The 24,705-nt window shown below is 35.2% G+C and overlaps 1 long non-coding RNA gene and 2 pseudogenes across 2 annotated transcripts in view, besides 1 other annotated feature; all 3 read left to right on the forward strand.

Moving 5' to 3' along the window:
* On the forward strand, positions 336 to 1,614 carry GAPDHP68 (glyceraldehyde 3 phosphate dehydrogenase pseudogene 68; annotated as a pseudogene).
* Positions 6,494 to 6,694: a silencer, noted in NCBI's record as "peak6371 fragment used in MPRA reporter construct". NCBI's record gives its function as "represses an SCP1 promoter by STARR-seq MPRAs in K562 erythroleukemia cells {active_cell/tissue: K562}" and the evidence as "EXISTENCE:reporter gene assay evidence [ECO:0000049][PMID:32103011]".
* The window catches only part of LOC105375148 (uncharacterized), a 147,709-nt gene continuing 130,236 nt past the window's right edge, over positions 7,233 to 24,705 (forward strand). The window contains exon 1 of the long non-coding RNA NR_187872.1: positions 7,233 to 7,470. This is a non-coding gene — a long non-coding RNA (uncharacterized LOC105375148). The remainder of the gene's footprint in view (positions 7,471 to 24,705) is intronic.
* Positions 19,698 to 21,245, forward strand: PER3P1 (PER3 pseudogene 1; annotated as a pseudogene). Its single transcript, NR_002790.3, has one exon. The product of NR_002790.3 is annotated as a PER3 pseudogene 1 (transcript).

The following is a 24,705-nucleotide window of genomic DNA, read 5'->3' on the forward strand; positions in this document are numbered from 1 at the left end:
AAGATACTTAAAATATGAGGTAATCAACTTCAAGCCTATATGCTAATATATTTAAAAACCTAGAAAAAATAGATGATTTCATGTTAAATATAAATGAAAAAACTGACCTATGAATTGAAATACCTGAATACCCTCATAAATGCAGAAGACCTTGAAAACTGCATCAGAGTACAGCCTCCAAAAAAATGTGTTTTCTTTCAAAAGTCAAAGAACCAAATAACTTTTATTATACTTAAGCATTCCAAAGCCTAGAAAAATATGTATTTTTTAAATTAACATTTTATACTAGCGTAACAATAAAATTAACATAAAATAGTTCAACATGAAAATTATAGGCTCTCTGCTCCTCCAGTTTGACAGACAGCTGCATCTTCTCGTGCAGCGCCATTGGCATCCCTGACACACTATGGTGGAAGTAAAGGCCCAAGTCAATGGATTTGGCCATATTGGGCACCTGGTCATCAGCACTGCTTTTAACTCTGGTAAAGTGAATACTGTCGCCATCAATGACTCCCTCATTGACCTCTACTACATGGTGTACATGTTCCAGTATGATTCTACCCGTGGCAAATGCCATGGCAGCATCAAGGCTGAGAACGGGAAGCTTGTCATCAATGGAATTACCATCATCATCTTCCAGGATAGAGATCCCACCAAAATCAAATGAGGTGATGCTGGTACTGAGTACATAGTGGACGCCACCAGTTTCTTCACCACCATGGAGAAGGCTCGGGCTCACCTGCAGGAGAGAGCCAAAAGGGTCATCATCTCTGCCCCCTCTGCTGATGCCCCCATGTTCGTTGTGGTTATGAACCATGAGAAGTAGGATAAGAGCCTCGAGGTTGTCAGCAATGCATCCTGTACCACCAACTGCTTAATGCCTCTGGCCAAGGTCATCCATGATAACTTTGGTATCGTGGAAGGACTCATGACCACAGTCCTTGCCGTCACTGCCATCCAGAAGACTGTAGATGGCCCCTCTGGGAAACTGTGGTATGATGGCTGTGGGCTAATCAGAACATCATCCCTGCATCTACTGGAGCTACCAAAGGTGTAGGCAAGGTCATCCCTGAGCTGAATGGGAAGCTCACTGGCATGGCCTTCCATGTTCCCACTGCCAACGTGTCGGTCGTGGACCTGACTTGCCATCTGGAGAAACCTGCCAAATATGATGACATCAAGTAGGTGATGAAGCAGGCATCAGAGGGCTCCCTCAAGGGCATCCTGGGCTACACTGAGCACCAAGTCATCTCCCCCGACTTTAACAGCGACACTCACTCTTCCACCTTCGATTCTAGGGCTGGCATTGCCCTCAACGACCACTTTGTCAAGCTCATTTCCTGATATGACAATGAATTTGGCTACAGCAACAGGGTGGTGAACCTCATGACCCACATGGCCTCCAAGAAGTAAGACCCCCCAGACCACCAACCCCAACGAGAGTGCAAGAGGAAGAGAGAGGCCTTCAGCTGCCGGGGAGCTCCCTGCTGCACTCAGTCCCCCACCACAATGAGAATCTCCCTTCCTCACAATTTCCATGCAGACCCCCTGAAGAGGGAGGGGCCTAAGGAGCCCCACCTTGTCGGTTACCATCAATAAAGTCCCCTGAGCTCACCTAAAAAAAAAAAAAAAACAAAAGAAAATAAAATTATAGCCAATTTCATTTAAAATAAAGAAACAAAAATTAAAAATAACACACTGTCATAAATTAATGTAAGACTATACTAAAATCACATTTCATTATACATTGGGGTTACTTTTAAAGTGTGAAGCTTGTTTAATGATTAAATATCTTAAATTAGTTTATTATGTGAAAATATTTTGTTGATAACAATAAGGATAATTATCTAATAATATAAAAATTCTAAAATTTTCAACAATTTCTAAGTATAATTTTTTAGAAACTAGAAAGAATGAATAGCTTCTTAAAATGCTGTTTTAAATTGTCTATTAGAATTCAGTGGACAACATTTGTCATAATAATAACCTAGAAGGATTCATGTTAATTTTAGAAACACAAATTGCTAATGGTGAGAATACATTCTGAGCAATGCATCATTAGGCAATTTTGTCACTCTGAGAAAGTTACAGAGTGTACTTACACAAACCTAGATTGTATAGCCTAGGCTAGATGGTACAGCCTACAGCTTCTAGGGTAAAAACCTGTACAACATGTCACTGTGCTCAATTATGTAGGCAATTATAACACAATGATCAGTTTTGTGTGTGTCTAAATATGGAAAAGACACACTCAAAATATAGTATAAAAGATAAAAAATGGTACACCTGTACAGGGCATTCACCATGAATAGAGTTTGCAGGACTGGAAGTTGCTCGGGGTGAGTCAGTGAGTGGTGAATGAATGTGAAAGCCTGTACACTGCTATAGAATTTATCACTGTACAATTAGGATACACCAAGTATATAAAAAATATTTTTCTTTTTTCAATCATAAATTAATCTTAGTTTACTATAACTACTTTATAAACTTTTTTTAACTTTTTGACTCTATTGTAATAACACTTGGTTTAAAACACAAACTCATTTCACAGATGTACAAAAATATTTTCTGTCTTAATATGCTTATTCTATAAGTTTTTTCTTCTTTTTTTACTTTAAACTTTTTAATTAAAAACTAAGACACTAATACACACATTGGCCTAGGTCTGCACAGGGTCAGGATCATCAATATCACTGTTATCCACCTCCGCATCTTGTCCCACTACAAGGTCATCAGGGGCAATAACACACATGGAGCTGTCATCTATGATAACAATTCCTTCTTCTGGAACACCTCCTGAAGAACCTGCCTAAGCCTATTCTACCATTAATTTTCTTTTAAGATGAGTTTTAAAAGTATGCTCTAAAATCACAATTAAAAGTATAGTGTACTAAATACATAAGCCAGTTACAGTCTTTTATTATCATTATCAAGTACTACGTGCTGCACATCAATTGTATGTGTTGTACTTTTATACCACTGGCAACACAGTGGGTTTGTTTACACCAGCATCACCACAGACATGTGAGTAACATGTGGCACTACGATGTTATGATGGTTATAATGCCATGATGCCACTAAGTGATAGAAATTTTTCACCTCCATTATAATCTTATGGTATCACCACTGTATTTGTGATCCACTGGTGACCAAAATGATGTTATACAGCACATGACTGCATACTAACTGTGGTGTCATTTAATATACTGTGTGTTCTGGAAAGGACAATACTTCAGAAGATAATACAAATTGCAACGTGTAATAATTGAAAAAATAGTGTCAAGATCATAGTTTCTTGGATTTGATATGATTGAAGACTACATAAACATTGTAATAACTCTTAGAATTTATAAATATTAACATTTACTAAGAAGGCTGATTAAAATAACATAAGAATATAAGAATCCTTATTGGAATACTTAGGATAATTAGTTTGTAATATAAACTGCTGTGTACATTCTCAACCCTGTATTAAAAGACATTAAAATAATTAGAAATAAAATTTGCCAGATATTTGTGGTATAAAAAGAGATATCTAAAAATCTGACTGAAACACATAAAAGACATTTGGCTCATTGAAGAGATCTACTATGTTACTTGATAGTGCAAACTATGTATATTGTCCCTCTATTAAGCTATAAATGGATATCAATTTTAATTAAAATTCAATTTTGGTGAGTTTAAGAGGCATACATTAATATTTAAATTTCCCATGGGAAAGTAAATGTTCTAAAATAACCATCAGCATTTTAAAGAGAAAAAAAGGTTGGCACTGGCTATAAATATTTAATAAGTAAAGTCAAAAGAACTGTCAGATTAATCTATAAGCAGAACTGTCATCTATAAAAGAACTGTCAGATCTATAAGCAGAAAAATTTGGTGAATTTTATGTGGGAAAGCCTACATCCATCTTTTTCAAATATGTATATAATGTATATTTATATTATATATTATATATATATTTAAGAGTGTAGGTGCTAAATAAAAATTTGCTGAATGAATGAATGAACAAAATCAGGTTTTAAGACAACAGTAGCCCTGGCTGACACCTTGATGGCAGCCTTGTGAGATGCTCATAGCTTGAGGACCTAGCTAACCTATGCCTGAACTCCTTGCCCACAGAAACTGAGACAATGTTGGTGGCTTTTAAGTTGCTATGTTTTGGTGTATTTTTTATACATAAATAGATAAATAATACTCATGGAAAGATGCAAGAATTAAAACAAGTTGAAGACAATATGTGAGAATATTTGTCTTACCTTTCCCAATTGAAGGACTTCTAAACATGATGATAACTAAAGAAAATACAAAGACTGAAGATTTTATGGCATAAACATACCCAATATACAGTCTGTAAAAATATACAAATATGTAACAACCATTTGGGAAATGGCTTATGGTAAATACAACAGGAAGATGTTCAATATTCTTACTAGGTTGGCGCAAAAGTAATTGCGGCTTTTGCCATTCCTTTTGTTACCTTTACTAAGAGCTTTTTCTATTAATAAGAAATAATTAAACATCACATTTTAAAAACGGGAAAAATGAATAAAAAGTCACTTTAAAAGTTAAGAACAAAATCAAAATAAAGTTTAACCCTTACTAGTCATTAACAAGCCATACATTAAAAAAAAAAAAATCTACAGAGACAACAGAAAAACACCGATCGGATCGCTTTTCTCATTGCTGAAAGACTTGTTCTCTGCTTGCTTTGGCATCGAAACTTCTCCCCATACACATACAGTTTCAGCAGGGTTATGGCAATTTTGTCTTCTTCATTTTGTCTTCATTTTCAATTTTGTCTTCTTTATTTTGATTGTACAGTGGGCCCCCAGACTTGCCTTTGTGTATTTACTGATCATATTTACCTCTTTTCTTGTCCATAGTTTCTATTTTAACTATACAATCGAAAGGTTATCTTTTAATTTGATCTTTTGAAGCTGAAACAATAGTTCTCTTTTCAAATACCAATTTCTTATGTTTTCTCAGTTTCTGATTGTGTTTGTCTTTGACAGAACAACCTGGCTGTCAACAGCTTGTATGAAATAGGAATTTTTTTTTTCTATAATGAAATCTGCATGCATTTTAAATCTGCACAACATTCTTCTTACTAATATCTCTATTAAAGTGATTATTTGTTTCCCATTTCCACTGTTCTTCAATCCTTTCTACTTTTCGATCCTTAAAGCCACCTCTTGGTTTTATTTTTTATTTATTTTCTCCCCAAATCAGTCCCCAAAGAAATACATATCTCTTATATTGTAGAGATAAATATTGATCTTTTTATTTTTATTAATTTTTTGTGTGTATGTTGTATAAGCAAATGTGTATCATTCTTTGGGATTATAACTTTCTCAAATACCCTCAGTCTCTCAACTGTGAGTAAAAAACATAAAAAAGAGTCGAAAAAATCCTTGACCTTCATGGCAAGCTTTTGAACTCTCGCGATTTTGTGCTTTGCATCATTCATAATCACATTTCCTTCCTCCTCCAAGAGTTGTTCAAAATCAAGAAAAATAAACACATGTACCTATTTAGATATCAATATGAAATATACAATAATAAATGCATAAGGCATATGATTAAAAACACAATACATATGAAGTTCGAGATCCCTCCTTTCATGGTAAAAAGCTTCTTTTAAAAATCACTGCTAATATTTCTTGCCAGTAAAAAGATAATTTTAGTCAAAAATTTAAAACCTTTAAAAGAAAATAAATGAGACTATCTTGAGATACAAAATATGTTTTTAGCAGGACACCAAAAGAACAAATAATGAAGGCTGATAAATCAAAATATATTTATGAGGAAATCTGCCAAAAAATAAACAACATAAAAATAAAGTCAAAAGACACAATGCAGGATGACTGTGACAGACTACCAGTCCTCCTGAGAAACAAAGGACACGGGATAAATTAGAAAAAGACATTGCTTTGGAGAGCTACCTAGGGAACTGGGATTTGAGGAATTCAGAGCCCACAGATAATAGCAACACACTAAGGTAAGGCTTATGCCTGGGAACTGGGATTTGAGGAGGTCATGTGTCCGGAATTGGTGGGTTCTTGGTCTCACTGACTTCAAGAATGAAGTCGCGGACCCTCGCGGTGTGTTACAGTCCTTAAAGGCGGCATGTCCGGAGTTTGTTCCTTCTGATGTTTGGATGTGTTTGGAGTTTCTTCCTTCTGGTGGGTTCGTGGTCTCGCTGGCTCAGGAGTGAAGCTGTAGACCTTGGCGGTGAGTGTTACAGCTCTTGAGGCGGCGGGTCTGGAGTTGTTCCTTCCTCCCGGTGGGTTCATGGTCTCTCTGGCTTCAGGAGTGAAGCTGCAGACCTTTGCTGTGAGTGTTACAGCTCATAAAGGCAGTGTGGACCCAAAAAGAGAACAGCAGCAAGATTTATTGCAAAGAGCGAAAGAACAAAGCTTCCACACTGTGGAAGGGGACCCCAGCGGGTTGCCACTGCTGGTTCGGGCAGCCTGCTTTTATTCTCTTATCTTGCCCCACCCGCATCCTGCTGATTGGTCCACTTTACAGAGAGCCCAGTGGTCTGTTTTGACAGGGCGCTGACTGGTGTGTTTACAATCCCTGAGCTAGACACAAAGGTTCTCACATCCCCATTAGATTAGCTAGATACAGAGTGTCAACACAAAGCTTTTCCAAGTCCCCACCAGAGTAGCTATATACAGTGTCGATTGGTGCATTCACAAACCCTGAGCTAGACACAGGGTGCTGATTGGTGTGTTTACAAACCTTGAGCTAGAAAGAGTGCCAATTGGTGTATTTACAATCCCTTAGCTAGACATAAACGTTCTCCAAGTCCCCACCAGACTCAGGAGCCCAGCTGGCTTCACTCAGTGGATCCGGCACCGGCCCGCAGGTGGAGCTGCCTGCCAGTCCCGTGCCATGCGCCCACACTCCTCAGCCCTTGGGTGGTCGATGGGACTGGGCGCCTTGGAGCAGGGGGCGGCGTTCGTCGGGGAGGCTCCTGCGCACAGGAGCCCACGGAGTTGCGGGGAGGCTCAGGCATGGCGGGCTGCAGGTCCCGAGCCCTGCCCTGCGGGGAGGCAGCTAAGGCCGGGCGAGAAATTGAGCACAGCAGCTGCTGGCCCAGGTGCTAAGCCCCTCACTGCCGGGCCGGCGGGGCCGGCGGGGCGGGTTGGCCGCTCCGAGTGCGGGGCCTGTCGAACCCACGCCCACCCGGAACTCACGCTGGCCCGCGAGCGCCGCGCGCAGCCCTGGTTCCCGCCCGCGGCTCTCTCTCCACACATCCCCGCAAGCTGAGGGAGCCAGCTCCGGCCTTGGCCAGCCCAGAAAAGGGCTCCCACAGTGCAGGGGCGGGCTGAAGGGCTCCTCAAGTGCCGCCAAAGTGGGAGCCCAGGCAGAGGAGGCGCCGAGAGCGAGCGAGGGCTGTGAGGACTGCCAGCACGCTGTCACCTCTCAGTCAGAGCCCACAGATAATAGCAACACACTAAGGTAAGTCTTATGTCTGCCCCTCTTTCTCCTAATTGCGTTTTCTAGCAATATGTGATAGGAAGCTGTTGGCAGGGAGAACTTGAGCAGAGCCTTAAGCAGCGTTCTAGGACCGCAAAACACACACACACACACACACACACAAATGGAGTGCAGGCACACTCAGGTGGAACTGCCCCAGTAGACATTGCAGGTTTTTAGTTGGGATGCCTGAAAGACTATATCCAGGAATAAGAATGAACTGAAAATACATAAGGACTAATAAAAACTGAAACTTAGCCTTGAATAAACTTAATCCATGGTGATTGATTACAATACTGTCAGAAGCAAAACAAAATACTCTCTAAAGGAAGAAGCATACTCTAAACCCTCTAAAATTTTTCATACACAATGTATAGAATTAAATAAAAAATTGGAACATGAAAGAAAGAAAAAATTGGAATAAAAAAATTTTTAAATGACGGTAGAAACAAACTCAGAGGTGATAGCTATGAAGATTATCATTCACCAACTTTAAAAGAAATACGATTTATATATTAGGAAGAACATATCAATATAAAAGATTTTACTATAGATTTGGAATCTATAAAATTATATAATTAATATAATTAATTACAAATTCTAGAAATGAGAAAAATAACTGATTTAATGCATGCAAATGGGTTCAAGAATAGACTAGATACACCTAAAAAGATGATGCATGATCTGAAAAATAGATTAGTAGAAGATATTCAGGATAAATCACAGAGAAATAATCAACATGAGAAATACAGAATGAATTAGAATTATACAAATAGACACAGAGAGGGAAGATTGAAAGAACAGAATACAGGCGATTTTTTGAAGACATATAATAAAGATTTTTCCATAATGAATGAAAGACATCAAACTACAGATTTCAAAGCAGTTAAGCTCAAGAAGACTAAATACAAGGATTATCAAACCTGGGCATATCATAAGAAAAATACTAAAAGTAAAAATAAAGAGAAAAATCATAACCAGCCAGAAGAAAAAAGGCACATATTCTTCAAAGGACCCACTAAAACATTTACAATGTTTTCTTCAACAGAAATGTAAGAAACCAGAGATTAATGAAACAGAATGTGTAAAGTTCTATAACCAGCTAATATGGAAATAATAAGTCCCCTGACCAAAACAAAAAATGAGAAAACTCATCTCTAAAAGATAAACTGTATAAAAAATACTAAAATAGTTCTATGGGAAGAAGAAATTTGATCTTACATACAAGAATAGGAAGTTTCAGAGGATTGAAGAACAATGGAAATGAGAAATGTATCATCATTCTAATAGTAAGAGGAACGTTGTGTGTGTTTGAAATGCATGCAGATTTCGTTGTAGGTATCAGTAGAAAGAAATCCTGGATTTCACAATAAATGACAAAGACTTCTATCGAGAATGTATAAAAATTCATTTAAATGTCAATATAAATACCAAAGATTACAAAATGATAATTCATTAAAAAATATAAGATTAAAAAAGAAAACACATCTATGTATTTTATGACAATATGACATGTATATGATAGCCATAGGATGCTGTCATACATATGTCATGTTGTCATAAAATATATGGATAAGAACTTGAAGTAAAGGAAAATCTCATGCTGTGATGGTGGGAGTGGAAATGGATACTACAATTTTTAAATAATGATTTGATGATTTTTTAAATGTTTACATATGAGAAAAAACATACTATAATGTATACTGCAACACTTTGAAATATCAAAAATACATATACAAAACAATGTCTTTCTACATGAGAATGAACAAATAAAATATGATATATTTATATAATGAAATATTGTAAAGTAGATAAAATGAGAGAGAACTATAAATAAAACAATGGATACATCTTCAAAATATATTTTTAAGCCCAAAAATTATTGCCAGGGGGTATTTAGAGCATAACATAATTTACATAAAAATTGAAAACATACACATTACTCATATATTATAAATACATAAATATATATGTAAAGATTTAAGAGTGTGTCAGACCAGTTTTAATTCTGGAGGGAACAGAGGAAATTGCAATAAGATGAAAATACACCTTCAGGAACTTAACTGTAATTATAATGTTCTATGTCTTAAAAAATCTTAAGGAAATATAATTTTCCTGAAATGTAAGGCAGCTAATGAGTATAGGAGGCATTCTTTTATTTTGTATTCTTATTTTTTATATTTTTATAGTAATTTTATAATAAAATGCTTTTTTAAAAAGTCTGTTATGATATGAGTAGAACCTGAAAGCAGAAAGCTAGAGGGTAAGATAATGGTCCAGGTACAAGATGGTTATGTCTTGGACTTAACCATATGGCTTGGACAGTAGTCACCAAGTGACAAGTGGTAGGATTAAGGATAGTTTTTTTAAATTATGGCTAACAGAATTTTCCAGGGATAAGAACTGAGAAATCATAAACAACTCCTATGTTTTTGGCTTCAGCAGTATATTTTATGCAGTAACGTTGAACAAGAAATAGATTCGAGAAGGAATTAAACTGGGAGTTTAAAAGGAGTAATGTCTTTAATATTAAAATTTATGGCATCTGTCAGGTGTTCAACAATATATCAAGTAGGCAACTGAATGTATAAGTTAGAGTCAAGAGTGAGATCAGGTCTGGGAATATAAATTGGGGACTTAGCATGAAAATGATACTTAAGGCCAGGCGTGGTGGCTCACATCTCTAATCCCAGCACTTTGGGAGGCCTAGCTGGGTGGATCACGAGGTTAAGAGTTGAAGACCAGCCTGGCCAAGATGGTGAAACCCTGTCTCTACTAAAAATACAAAAATTAGCCGTGCATGGTGGCAGGTGCCTGTAATCCCAGCTACTCGGGAGGGTGAGGCAGAGAATTGCTTGAACCTGGGAGGCGGAGGGCAGTGAGCCGAGATCACACCACTGCACTCTAGCCTGGGCGACAGAGCCAGACTCCATCCCAAAAAAGAAAAAAGAAATGATACTTAAAGCAATGATACTACTTATGGACAGAGCGAAGACGGAGTAAAGAGGGGAGTGTTAAAGACTGTTTCTTGGAACCCTACGTAATTAATAGTACCTGAAAAAAGGTCTGAAAAAAGAGAAGGCAACTAAATACGTAAGAAAGAATAACCACTCCATCAAGAAACATGCTCAGGGCTGGGCTTGATGGCTTACACCTGTAATCCCAGCACTTTGGGAGGCCAAGGTGGGCAGATCACTTGAGGTCAGGAGATAGAGAACAGCCTGGCCAACACGGTGAAAAATACAAAAATTAGCTGGGCCTGGTGGCACACACCTGTAGTCCCAGCTACTTGGGAGGCTGAGGCACGAGGATCGCTTGAACCCATGAGGCAGAGGTTGTAGTGAGCTGAGACCACACCACTGCACGCCAGCCTGGGCGACAGAGTAAGACTCTGTCTTTAAAAAAAAAAAAAAAAAAAAAAAAAAATGCTTGGAAAGTGTGGATCCAAATATTTAAAAAGGCTTTCATAAACAGATAATGTAAATTCTAAAGATAACTGTTTAAAGTGAGGGCCATGGATTGAATTAAAGAATTAAGTAAGATGGATGAGAATTCTGTTTAAGTTTGGGGCTGTTATAGTAGCTGTATATTCTAATGGAAATTACCCAATAAGAATATACTGACGATGGAGAATGGGAATGGGACATAATCTTGAGCAAAAGGCATGTACGTAGGGGGCATGAGTGAATCAAGTGCACAGGGCAGTAGTTGTCCTTGGCATAGCCATGCACTGCAACAGAAAGGGAGGAAGACTGTGTGGGAACATATGCAGATAGTTGTTAAATTTGCAAGTGGAAAGATGATTCAGTTCTCATCTGATGTCTTCTATTTTCTTGGTGAAATAAGAAGTGTTATGTACTAAATTGTGTACCCCACCCAAAACTTATGTGTTGAAGCCCTAACCTCCAATGTGACTATATTTGGAGACAGAGTATATAAGGATGTAATCAAGGTTAAATGAAATTATAAGAGTGGGGCCTTGATCTAATAGAATTTCTATCATTATAAGAAGAGACATCAGAAAGCTCTCCATCCCTCAGATCTCACCCACACACAAAAATTATGTGAGCACCAGGCAAAACGACAGCTGCCTCCAGCGCGAGAGAAGAGGCTTCCAAATGAAAGCTACCTTTGGCCAAGCAAAATAATACAAGAAGCAATATTATCATCTGAAAGTAGAAAAGGAAAGGGATGATGAAAGTTTGAAAGAGAACTGAGATAGTGATCTCAGAGAGTGGGATAGTGAATTAGGGAAAGAAATTTACCTCTGGGCCATACTGAGGACTCCATAAATATGGATGGAGTGACTGAACTAGAGGAAACGAAAGAAAATAATTCAGAGAAGCATTTGAGAGTAGAATGAGTGTGGAGTTTGAGGGCACATTGGAAGTGGCAGGGTGATACAGATTTGATGTTCAGAGGTATGTGGGACTAAATGAGTGGTGACTGGTGACTTGTAAATCCTAGAATTCTGCTCAATGTGGAGGAAATGAGCCTGCAAGTTATATGAGGATAAGTACTAATGGTCACTTAATGGGAGATGGGCAATATTTTGAAATGTAATTGTTCAACTTCTCTTATATATTTATATCCCTTTCAGTATTAAATGCTGGTAGGGGGATCTCTCCCCTCTTCATTAAGTAATTAAGTAATATTACCCTTTTTTGCTTGAATGATGGGAAATGCAAACTAATTTGCATGTCCCAATGAAATAGTTTCTCACAGGCTAATTCCTAATTATTGGTTTTGAGTATAATAATTTTTAATCAGCCTCATTCCTTGTTCTTATTCTTTTGGGCCTTATTTCAATGGACTACTTGCACCGATGCTATTTATTATAAGCTTCCTCTGTTACTTTTTGATGCAGTCAGAGAAAAAATGTTAGTCATTTATTTTAGCTCTTATATTATTTAGAGCTCACCTTTCTTACTTTAATAGCTTTACATCTTCTCTTGCCTTATTTGAAAAATGTCAATTACAGAAATATCTACTTATCTAACTCTGGCTCAGGTTTACCTCCCCAAGTTCAACTCTTCCGAGTTGAGCCCCATCTATTAAAATCAGAACTCATTTCCTCTTTTTTAGGTCCTTCAATGAATCAAGCCTTCCTTAGACATTTCTACATGCTCTTTTATTTTTAACATTCTCTTCACTCTTTCCTCTTGAATTTAACTGTCAAAGGTTTCCCTTTAGAGGTCAATTATTTCTTGACCTCTTCTCTGTGTTCTTATTTTCTTATCAAATCAGATTGAGGGCTTGCTGTGCTTCTGCAAATCCTCCCCTATCACAGCCCTTATGATGCTATATTTTAATTATTTGTTTACATAATTTACTCCTTACTATATCATCACCTCCATGAAAGTAAACAATTTGTACCTTTTGCTTATCAGTATATCCTCCAGACTATAAACGCTTAATTCACATTTCTTGAATAAATGTATGTATGCTTCTTCTGACTGAATACATTAGAAATATTTTAATTAACAATCTTAAAATGTCTACTTTTTATATTATAACTTGTATATGAGTCCTGGTTAGTAGCCATACATTCCATCCAAAATAGCAGTGATGGTTATGAAATTATTCATTGAAAACTTTATTTCCTGTGTTATACAGATAATTTCCTAACTTTCTGCTACATTTTAATTGCCTGAATTTGAAGGCCAGCAATATAAGGGAAATTTTATTGGTCAGATTACTATGCTAGATTTATTCAATTTTGTTTTACTTAACTGTGGTATAAAGAGTTTCAATTAGCACACTGGCAGTGATAAAATCCTTTGTCAATACATTATAGCAATATTCTAAGCATGAATAAACTTTATTAGGGACACAAATCATTAGTAATGAAGTGGTCCTTTGACAGATTTAAAAAAAAAAACCTTAACACAGCAGAATGAGCTTACATGCATTTTGCTTATCAAGTGGAGACTGGGAATGAGTTGCACTGTCAAGCAGGCTGCAGACTATCAAAGTCAGTAGTTGCCCCAAACTTTTCTGAATATAAAAGCTTGAGTTATCTGATTCTTCTTCCCTAGTTTATAAAAAATTCAATCAATTTTTTTCAGAAGTAATAAATTAAAATTATAGAAGGTTAAATTATGCATTTTTAGTTGATTATCTTATTAGATGTTAAGGCTAAAACTCAGTGGATGAAGTGATTTTCCCGAGGTCTTATACCTTATAAATGACACAAATGCACCTAGTATCCAAATGTTCTGACTCATAGTGATTTATATCTAGATCGAAGTCCCTGTTTGGATTATTGGTTCCCGAATGTATGTGTCACGCTACCACGTAGAAATTTACAAATTTGTCTTCCTCCTTCTCGTCTAATTTATATTTTCCTAAAGAAATACCTATACTCAGACCCCTGTTTCTAATATATATAGGATATTAAACTCAATTGAAAACATGTAGGCATAGATACCAGATTATAGGTTATGCTTCATTATAACAGAATTGACCCTTGGATTAGTACATTCTCATGCTGCTAATAAAGACATACCTGATACTGGGTAATTTATAAAGAAAAGAGGTTTAATTGACTCACAGTTCAGCATGGCTGGGGAGGCATCAGGAAACTTACAATCGTGGAGAAAGGGGAAGCAAACACATCCTTCTTCAGATGGCGGCAGCAAGGAGAAGTGCAGAGCAAAGTGGGGCAAAAGCCCCTTAGAAAACCATCAGTTCTCGTGAGAACACACTCACTATCATGAGAACAGTATGCAGATGACCACTCCTGTGATTCAATTACCTCCCACAAGATTCCTCCCATGACACATGGGGATTATGGGAACTACAATTCAAACTGAGATTTGGGTAGGGACAGAGCCAAACCATACCATTAAATCTTCATAATATGGGGACTATTCTCCTGCAGGGATAAGAATTATTGTGTATTAATCTCATTTAGAATATAAAATATTTGTAACTATTTATTTCAGAGTTAATAGAAACCTCAAATTATGTATTTTTAAGGAGACAATGTTGTTTATTTTATTAAACATACATAGAGGAATTGAAACAAAAGGATAGAAAAGTACATAGTGGGTCCTGACACAGCAGCTATCATGACCAGAAAATTAACTGAGTACTATTTTTTTTTAAAACAGGCTATTGTACTTGAAAATACTCTATTCAATAAGTTGGACATTTCACCTACAAACTTATTTAAAAGTTAATTTGCTGAGCAATTCCTATCATTTAAAAATAGTTTAAAGGTAAGTTTTAACAGAGCCCATTTGCAAATCTTTATGAAATCTTATTTTCATGAGATTTTACTGTCATAAGAAAGAATTTAAAGTCCTTATTTTTTATTGTTGTATTTACATAGCTTAATCTTGTATTCATTTTCCACTTACCTAAAAGCAACTTTATGTTACAGTTTTTCTACTCTTGTAAACAGCACATTCATTTCAGAGATTTTCTCTCTAAAATCCAGAATGTTAAATATAAATGATGATCTACTCATTTCTGACTTTACTAGCTATTCTCATTAACAATAAGTTGTTTAAAGGAATGAGAGATATAACCACAAGGAGATATAAAATTCTTGTGTGGATGGCTAGTTTGATTTTGCTATACCAGTACCTTAGTCCTCCTAAGTATTTTACATTAAATTCCATTTAAATGAATTTTCTTTTGAGATCTGAGAATGACTTTTTAAACTAAGAGAATTATAGATATTTTTCCTTGAGTCATACAAATGAGAATACAGCATTGTGATTTGAATGTAATCTGTGCATTAACATTGCAAAGGTTCAAATCACAGTTCAGCTGTTAGTTGTGAGATTTCCGCCTATTTACTGCATCACCTTTACATTTCTCCAGGTGTGAACAATGATGCTATTAGAATCTCTAAGGATTAAATGAGATAGTCAAATAAAGCAGTTAGGACAGTGACTGACACACAGTATGCACTGAACACCTAACTATTAAAGTTTATCAACTCTTATGATTTGAAAATTAATGACTGAGACAATATTGTCCTTTAAAAATTAATTATGGTACAAAAATGAAACAAATGAAAAAAAGCCTCAAAATGTAAGTAAGGTGGCTTTGAATAAAGATGACAGATATTTGTAATGTATTTCACCCCTTGAGCATCATTGAATACAACAAAATAAACATATAATGAAAAGAATCAAACTCCATAGTCAAAGCAGAAGAAAGTAAATTATCAAAATCTAAAGCACCAGTCAAGAAGAATATATATCCAATAGTGAAAGTGGAATAAAACAAGAAGTCGAACTCAGAGCTTGGAGCTCCTCAAAATCAGAAAAGATATGGACTGAAAAAAAAAAAAAGAGCTCTCATCATTGAAATGTCCCTATTATGGCAAGACACTCCCTAATTGGGAAATGCCCCCTGCGTCCTCCCCACTATACCCAGAAAAGAGCAACAGATCACCACTGCACCCTGCAAAGCAGCTAGTGAGGTTTTCGAAAACATGCTCACTAGCTCTCTTTGGTTACTATCGTAAGGTTTACAAACTGCAGATATGGAAGAATGAAAAAGGGAGAGAAAAATGAGCACATCATGGAGATCCTGAAATTAAAAGGGGTTGATGGAAGGTATATGATAACTTCATGCTGAGGGAGTATACAAGACTGATAGTTGAATGGAAGAGTAGAACATTCCTCTTTCCCATGTCTCCTTCTCCACACAATTCTGCAACAATATTTGAAGAAACAGCTAGCTCACACTCAACAGTATTACTAGAAAGGAAGGTGTTTGGTGACAAGGTATACATAGGAATAGAGGAAGAGGAAAATACAGGAAGCAGAATGCAAATGCATACCTGATGCAAAATGGGAAAGCACTCTAAAAAGAGAGATATTCTCGAGAGTCACAAGTAAACATACAATTAATGTTTCCAATGATAAGGAAGCTTTGCAGCTTGGAATTTATCCTTTTTTCACCTGCATTCTTAAATGATAGCTTAGCTATGTATGAAAGTATACAATGAAAATATTTAAATTTCACACTTGGATGGTAATAATTTATTTTACATCTGATCTCTAAGTATTACTGATGAAAAGTCTGCTGAAAGTCTTGCTATCGGTAACTCTTTTATACCATAAAGTAAAATTTATATATTTTAAGATTTTCCTTTGTCTTTCCTGTTCTCTGGTTTCAACACCTAGTTTCTCAGTGAATATAATTAATATCTTCCAAGTAAATGCTCCTAGTTTCTTTTGGTCTCTTTTTCAGTTTGTTTTTGAAAACTGTGTTGCCTCATTTATTTATCCATTTTCCTTTTCTAAAAATAGTATTAAATAAATCTTGAAATTTTCCTAATCTTCTGTATCTCTTGCCTTCTCTTTGATATTTTCTGCCTCTCTTTTGAGCTATTTCTTTAGATTATCTTCCAATTCACTTATTTTATTTATAACAATATTAATCTGGCTACTTACCATATCTGTTCCACACGCCATGGCTATACTACTTGTTTATAGATGGTACATTACTGCATTTTTCTCATACTTCTTTTTGTTTGTCTTATAACTTCAATATCTCTTTATTAGCTCTGAAAGTTTCAGTTCCATATACTTATTTTTAAATCTCTTAAGATTATTTTATTCTGTAGTACTTGGGGCTTAAATACTCCCAAACGTTGCATCTGTTGGTTCTTTCTCCTTGTGTATTTTGCAATTTCCTACGTGAATTTATTCTCTGGCATATCATGTTCTATGAAATTAGGTGACCTCGGTTTTGGAGTCTTCTCTAAAGATCAATTTTGCCTTGTCTAAATGTGACCTTACAGTTTTTCACCTATTATCGAATAGTTTTTATTGTAAATAGCTCAGGCTTCTGTATAAACAGCATACAGTTGTGTAGATCATACATTGAAAAAGAGCACCCAACTGAGGGGATACCAGTGCCAGAAATTCAGTCTTGTGCATTAATCAAGCCATGTATTCTGGTGTGAAAAGGCAATCATCCATAAAAAGAGACACTTTTTTCACAATTCATGCAAGGAACTATTATGGGCTGGAATCAGTCCTGCTCATCTACCCATGACCCAAGCAGATTTTTAGTTTACTTATCACTTTCCTGAGCTACTGGATGCTGTGTTTCCTAGCATATTGAACAAATAGCCCTTTGTGGCTGCCAATTTTTCACAGAAATCTCAGTTTTAGCTCATGGGTTTCACAGGCCAGATGATCATCATCCAATATTGCACGGACATTTCAACCTTAGCATCCAGTTTTAAGGCCTGTATGTAGACTTTGTACTTTGTTGAGCCACTAATTATCAAATACCACTCACCATTCTGTCTCTGTTACCTCTGGCACTTAGGTATTTCACTTTCTTACGATTTTTTGTCTGCTTCTTATGTTTTATCCAAGAGACTTGTTTGTTTGGAAAGAAAAATACCAGCCCACCAAATCTAGTAGAAACTTAGTACTTTCTTTTTGAATTCATTACCGTTTTCTTCATGGACATCAAAATCTCAATGTTACCCTCACTTCACTGGCTGCTTCTTTTAAATCTCTATTCTGAAAAATAATTTTTCTAATTTCGTTGACTCTTCTACCTTGGTTCTAATCCTTTGTTGTGGATTAATCTGTTGTTAATATGGTACATTTTTTAATGTGGACAAATGGTAGGATTATTAAAATTATGTTAAAAATTCTAAATCCTTAAAGATATGACAATTCTTAGTGCTCATTTGTTTCCTGGAAAGAGGTTGTATCTCCAAGAGGGAAGGCATGGAGGAAGTTTGGTGATTATCCAATCCTTTTCTTTTGATCAATCATATCTCCCTGGAGTCATAACTTCTATTCAAAGTGCATACCAGTAATGTTACTCTTTTCTTTACATTTTAGTATATATAGTATTGTAAAAGTAACATGTTCTCATTATAAAAAAATGGAAAAAATATAGAAATGTTTTTTAAAAATCAGTTCCATAAAAATAAATAAATAAATGTACAACCACAATTTCCAGCCCTTGGTTACTAAATGTTACTGATATTTCTTGACTATCATTTCAATTATCTTTCTATATTCATATTGAAATGAATAAAGAGATGTACAAAATTTTCTAGTTATTTTATTTAAATGATTTTAAAATGTTATATTTGATTAAGTTTAATTTGTGTTTAAATTTCTAAGAAGAAAAAGAAACTGAAGGATAGATACCTAATAGTCAGCCAGGACCACCCTAAAAGGTATTCTTCCGACATAATTACACTTAATGTAGTGACTGTCAATATTTTCCATATAACCTTTGAAATTTCTTCATAGACAGGTAAACTGTATCTTAATAATACTCAGAAAAGAGGATTAGCTGTGATACTTTATTATCCAAAGACCTGTAACTACCTGAAACTTAAATCTCCAAAATGAAACTCTTGATCTCCTCTGCCAAACCTGTTCTTCCTACCACCTGCAAATCTCTGAAATGGTAAATTTATTCTGCATAGTATTCAAGCTAAAAATTTTTGTCATTTTTTTGTCTCTTTACTTTTCCTTATACCCCAAATCCAATCCTGCCAGTTTTATTTTCTAAATATACCCATAACCCAAACACTTTTCATAGCAACTTAATTATAATCCTGGTCCAAATCACTATTATCATCCATGAGAAACTATTGAAATAGCATATTTTACTGCAATAGCATATATTATTAGCATGGTCTATTTTGCCTACAGAGCTAGCTTTACTGGCTAATCTCATGGTCTGCTGGTAGAGCGGATTATATCTACCATAAGTAAAAATTTCTAAGAGATTTCCTGGAAATATAGGAAATAAGAAATACATCGACAAGAATGTAGATAATTAATTGTCAGTGTATGATGACTTAATAACTTTCCCTAATCAAACAGTATTGACCAAATGGATTCAGTGAATGATTCTAAAATAAAAAAGAAGCAGACAACAGAATCAAGGGCTGGAGAGGAAAGGATGGTCTAATCTGAAGATCTACAGATACCAAACAATAAATCTTGTGAAAATGATTCCAGCAGAAATGACCCTAATAACATAATGGACCACAATCCAGTGGTATTGAGTTCCTTCAGGAATAATCTGATGTATTGTGAAGCCAGAATACAAATGGCAGAGTAACATAGAGTGTGGCAGCAGCCACGGAAAAGTGTAGTGGAGACTCAACAATTTAGAATGAGGAGTTATAGGAAATTGAAGGAAATAACTAAAGTACACTAGAAGGAAAAAGCACAATTTAAAAAAAAAAAAAAGCTTTCTGAAGAACTTGTGAGGATGGTAAAGGATATGAAAACCTACTTTCCATCATGGAGACATAGTAAACCATATTCTTTCTATGCCTTCAACCATGTCCTTCACTGTGTGGACAGCATGCAAGCAAACAGTGAGATTTTCCAGTTAAAACTCACTACCTCTAGCACATACAACTATGTTCAACTTGAGTTGCTAGACACTGTTGATTCAGAACATGCTTCCAAAAACACAGATACTCTTGTGGCAATTTTTTATTGCCGTCTAGAAGGTTAGTCCTGAAATTTTGTGTGTGTATGTGTGTGTACATACATATATATCTTGGAGTCCTCTCACTTTGCTGAAATGTGTGCCTTTAATATATGAGAGTGTTCTATACACATAATACCCAGTCTCAGCTTTCTTTCTGGAGCAACTATACCTGCAAAAGTATCTTCACAGCATGCGTATGCTTCAGTGAAATTCTTTTTTTTTCTTTCATAACCCATGGAGGTAAAGACACAGAAGAAGAGAAATAATACAGTAGTCCCACCTTATCTGTGGTTTGGCTTTCTACAGTTTCAATTACCTACAGTCAACTGTGGTCAGAAAATATTAAATAGAAAATTCCAGACATAATTCATAAGTTGTAAATGTATACAGTGTTCTGAGTAACCTGATGAAATGTTGGGCAGTCCCACCTTCTTCTGCCCAGAGTATCTGCTCTATAGGTGCTCCCTGATTGTTAGTCACTTAGGGTTATCACCTGTCCCAGTATTTCAGTGATTTTGTTCAAGAAACTCTTACTGTATTTCTTAATGGACCCAAAGCACAAGAGTAGTAATGCTAACAATTAGATATACCAAAGAGAAGCCATAGAATGCTTCCTTTAAGTTGTTAATAAGGAAAGAAAATATATATATACTAAGCTGGCTAAGATCTACATTGTAAGAACCAAACTTCATCTGTGCAGTTGTGAAGAAAAAAAATTAATGCATAGCATACACAGGGTTTGGTACTATCCTCGATTTCAGGCATCAACCAGGCATCTTGAAATGTAGTCCCCATGGTTAAGGGCAGGCTACTTATTACTTAATCTACATTATTCTCCTTTAGCCCTATATACACAGCTTTATCCTAACAGAATCTGAATCTTGCTGTCTCACACTGGTTAAGAAGATTCACTCTGGCTATGGAGCTCCTCAAATACTAGTGGATAAAGTAATTTTTACCACCACACACACTCCAAAGTGTGTTTTTCTTTAATAGAGTGGCAGTTTAGATAGTGGTGTCTTTGCTGGGTGACTGTCCTCAAGATCTGGTTGGAATATCATTCTTAATGTATTTGCATACAGGATATAATTCCTTGTTGATACATACCAAAAAGGCTTGATGTTTGTAGGCCACCTTCTCTTTGAACATTCATTCACTACATTTTGTATTCAAATGGAGACTACAAAGGGAGAGATTTTACTGGGGCACCAAGAAACTCTGAGGAAGATAAATATGTTCTTTATCGTGATTATTGTAATGTTTCCTAGATGCATACGTAACAATTTATCAAATGTTGCTTTTTAACAAGATATGGTTTATCATACATCAGCTATACCCCAATAAAGCTGTTAAAAAAAGAATTATATTGGAAACTTTTATAATAACTGGCGTTTTCTTTTAACTGCATTCTGAGAGTTTATTTTCTTAATGTACTAGGATTCTGTGTAAAACACCAGAAAGAGCAGGAGAGCTAGAACTGGAAAATGTAAACTTAACTTCTGGTGGTAATTACATTTTAACTTGAGAACTAGAAAACAACAGACAGTAAATAGTCTGTATGCATATATGAAAATTGTTTATGAATACCATGGTGGAGATTTAATAAAGTACTATGGCTCTCCTAAGAATTTTGTATTTCTGCCAAAGGCTTTTATGAAAACTCTAGAGAAGATTTAGGTAAAGTAAACCTAGTGAGGGGAATAAATAAAATGGTGTCTCGTTATTCTTTTCAGTTGTGTGATTCTTACTGTCCACTTTCATTGAACCATGGGAAGCTGCTGCACATTGAACAGAGAAGGTTATGTTAATTTGCTAAAGACACAAAGAAATAAAAACAATCTACACTTCTTTTGTTTTTTCTGACCAAATCCTTTGTTTTTTTAAAAAAAGAGTTGGTGTATTTTCTCATTCACTTATTTTCTGGGCAGTCTTCATCTCTAATCTGTAATTTAAGGCTAAAGGTTCTATTAAGTCTTAGAATTTGAATCAAGTAATTTTTGTTTTTCATTTTTACTTGAGTGCATTAAAAACTATGACATTAAAAAATCCACTAGCATTAGTGAACAAAGATGTTATTGTAAGTCTTTTATTGTTGGTATTTGTAGATATTGTGGAGCTAATTGTTTATTGTTGCCAAAAATATTTCAATGATGTGCAAAGAACTGGAGAAGGAAATACATGATAAAAAATTAAAAGCCTAAGACTAGAAGGCTAAAGGGTACTCAAGAAGTCATCAAAGATATAATCACCAGTATTTATTTTTACCAAAGATAAAACAAAGAGTCCTAAATGACACTACCTAATAAAGAATATAAATTGCATACCTGAGGACTATTTCCAGGTTCTGAAAATTATTAGCTTCTGAAATATATTTCTGAGGCAAAGATAGGTGGCATAGAATCTTATTTGTCTGAGCTATTTTCAGGGTAGCATGCTCAGAAGTCTTGTGGAGAGACTATTTTTTTTTTTTTTTACCATTGTTTATGTGAAAACCAGTCAAAATATGACCAAAAAAATTCATACTAATACCTCATTTATGTGACATTTTATGTTTTTATCTCATATAAGGATTTTATAGATAAGATTAAGAACAGGAGTTCCAGCATATAACAAAATAAAAGCAAAATATGACAAAGCAACAATTAACATTACACTATACAAGGAAAAGCTGAAGGTTTTTTTTTTCTAAGAACTGGAACAAGACAAGGGTGCTCACTCTCGCCACTCTCATTCAACATAGAACTGAAAGTCCTAGCCATAGCAATTAGGCAAAAAAAAGAAAGAAAGTATCCAAATTAAAAAGAAGAAAGTTGAATTATCTCTCCGTGCCAACATGACCTTAAATAGAGAAAAAGCTAGATTTCACCAAAAAAACTTTTAAAATGGATAGATGAATTCAGTAATGTTGCAGTATACAAAATCAACATACAAAAATTAGTAGCATTTTTGTATACCAGTAATGAACTAGGTGAAAAAAGAATTCAAGAAAGCAATTTCATGTATAATGGCTACCCAATAAATAAAATACCTAGGAGTAAATTTAACAAAGGAGATGAAAAATGTCCATCAAGGAAACTATAAAACAATGATGAAAGAAACTGAAGGGGACACCCACAAAAATGAAAAGACATCTCATGTCATAAATTGGAAGGGGAAATATTGTTAAAATTACCACACTACTCAAAGTGATCTACAGATTCAATGCAACCCCTATCAAAATACCAGTGGCATTCTTTACAGAAATAGAAAAAATACAATCCTAAAATTTGTACAAACCACAAAAGACACCAAATAGTCAAAGTAATCCTGAGGAAGGAAAACAAAGCTGAAGGCATCACATTATCTGTGTTCAAAATATTCTACAAAGCTATAGTAACCAAAACAGCATAATTATAAAAATAGACACATAGGTCAATGGAACAAAAGCCCCATATTAATCTATTTATAGCCAACTGATTTTTGACAAAGGTGCCAAGAACATTTATTGGTCTTTTCAATAAATGGTGCTGGAAAAACTGTATATCCATATGTAGAAGAATGAAACTAGACTCCTACCTCTCACCATATAAAAAATCAGCCCCAAATGGACTAAAGACTTAAAGACCCGAAACTATGAAATTACTAAAAGAAAACATAGAGAAAATACTCTGGGACACTGGTTTTGGCCAAGAATTTATGGCTAACATCTCAAAAGCCCAGGCAACATAAGTCAAAATAAACAAATTAGATTATATCAAAATAAAAAAAAACTTCTGCACATCAAAGGAAAGAATCAATAATGAAAAGACAACCTGCAGACCAGAAGAAATATTTGTAACGTGTTCATCAGACAAGGAATTAATATCCAGGATATAAAAGAAACTCAACAGTCAAAAAATAGTAATCCAATTAAAAAAGAGCAAATGATCTGAATAGAAAACTCTCAAAAGAAGACTTACAAATGTCCAAGTCTGTGAAAAAAAAATACTAATCACTAATGATCAGAGAAATGCAAGTCAAAACCAAAATGTGATATCATCTCATCCCAATTAGAATGGCTACAAAAAAGGCAAAAATTAGCAAGTGCTGTCGAGGATGCAGATAAAAGGAGACTCTTTTTATACACTGTTGGTAGAAGTGTAAATTAATACAGCCATTATTTAAAAAAAAAAAAGTAGGGAGTTTCCTCAAAAAGCTAAAAATATGACCGGGCAATCCCACTGCTGGGTTTGTATCCGAAAGAAAGGAAATCAGTATGTCAAAGAGATATATGCGCTACTGTGTTTATTGCAGCATATTGACAGTAGCAAAGATATAGAATCAATTTAAGTGCCCATCAATGGATGAATGAATAAAGAAAATGTGGTATATACATCTAATGGAATAGTATTCGGCTATAAAAAGAATGAAATCCTGTAATTCATGGCAATATGGGTGAGCCTGGAGGACATTATGTTACATGAATAAGTCAGGCAAAGAAATATAAAATGCTCTCACTCATATATGGAAGCTAAAAAAGTTAATCTTGTAGAAGTAGAGAGTAGAATAGTGGTTACTAGTGGTTGAAAAAGGTATATATAGTCAACTAGTTGGCTATAACTATAGTTAACTATAGTCTTTGTGTCCATTGTTTTCAATGTTTATTTGAACATATGTATCTTTTACATTTTCCTTTGGATCCTAGAAGAAATATTTTTTTTTCTATTTTTTCCCATTATTCATTGTTTTCATTCAGTTTAACTGCTTGCAAGGTGATTTTTAATTTTGTTTTGGGGTTTT

Source organism: Homo sapiens, chromosome 7, assembly GCF_000001405.40.
Source record: "Homo sapiens chromosome 7, GRCh38.p14 Primary Assembly".
NCBI lineage: Eukaryota > Metazoa > Chordata > Mammalia > Primates > Hominidae > Homo > Homo sapiens.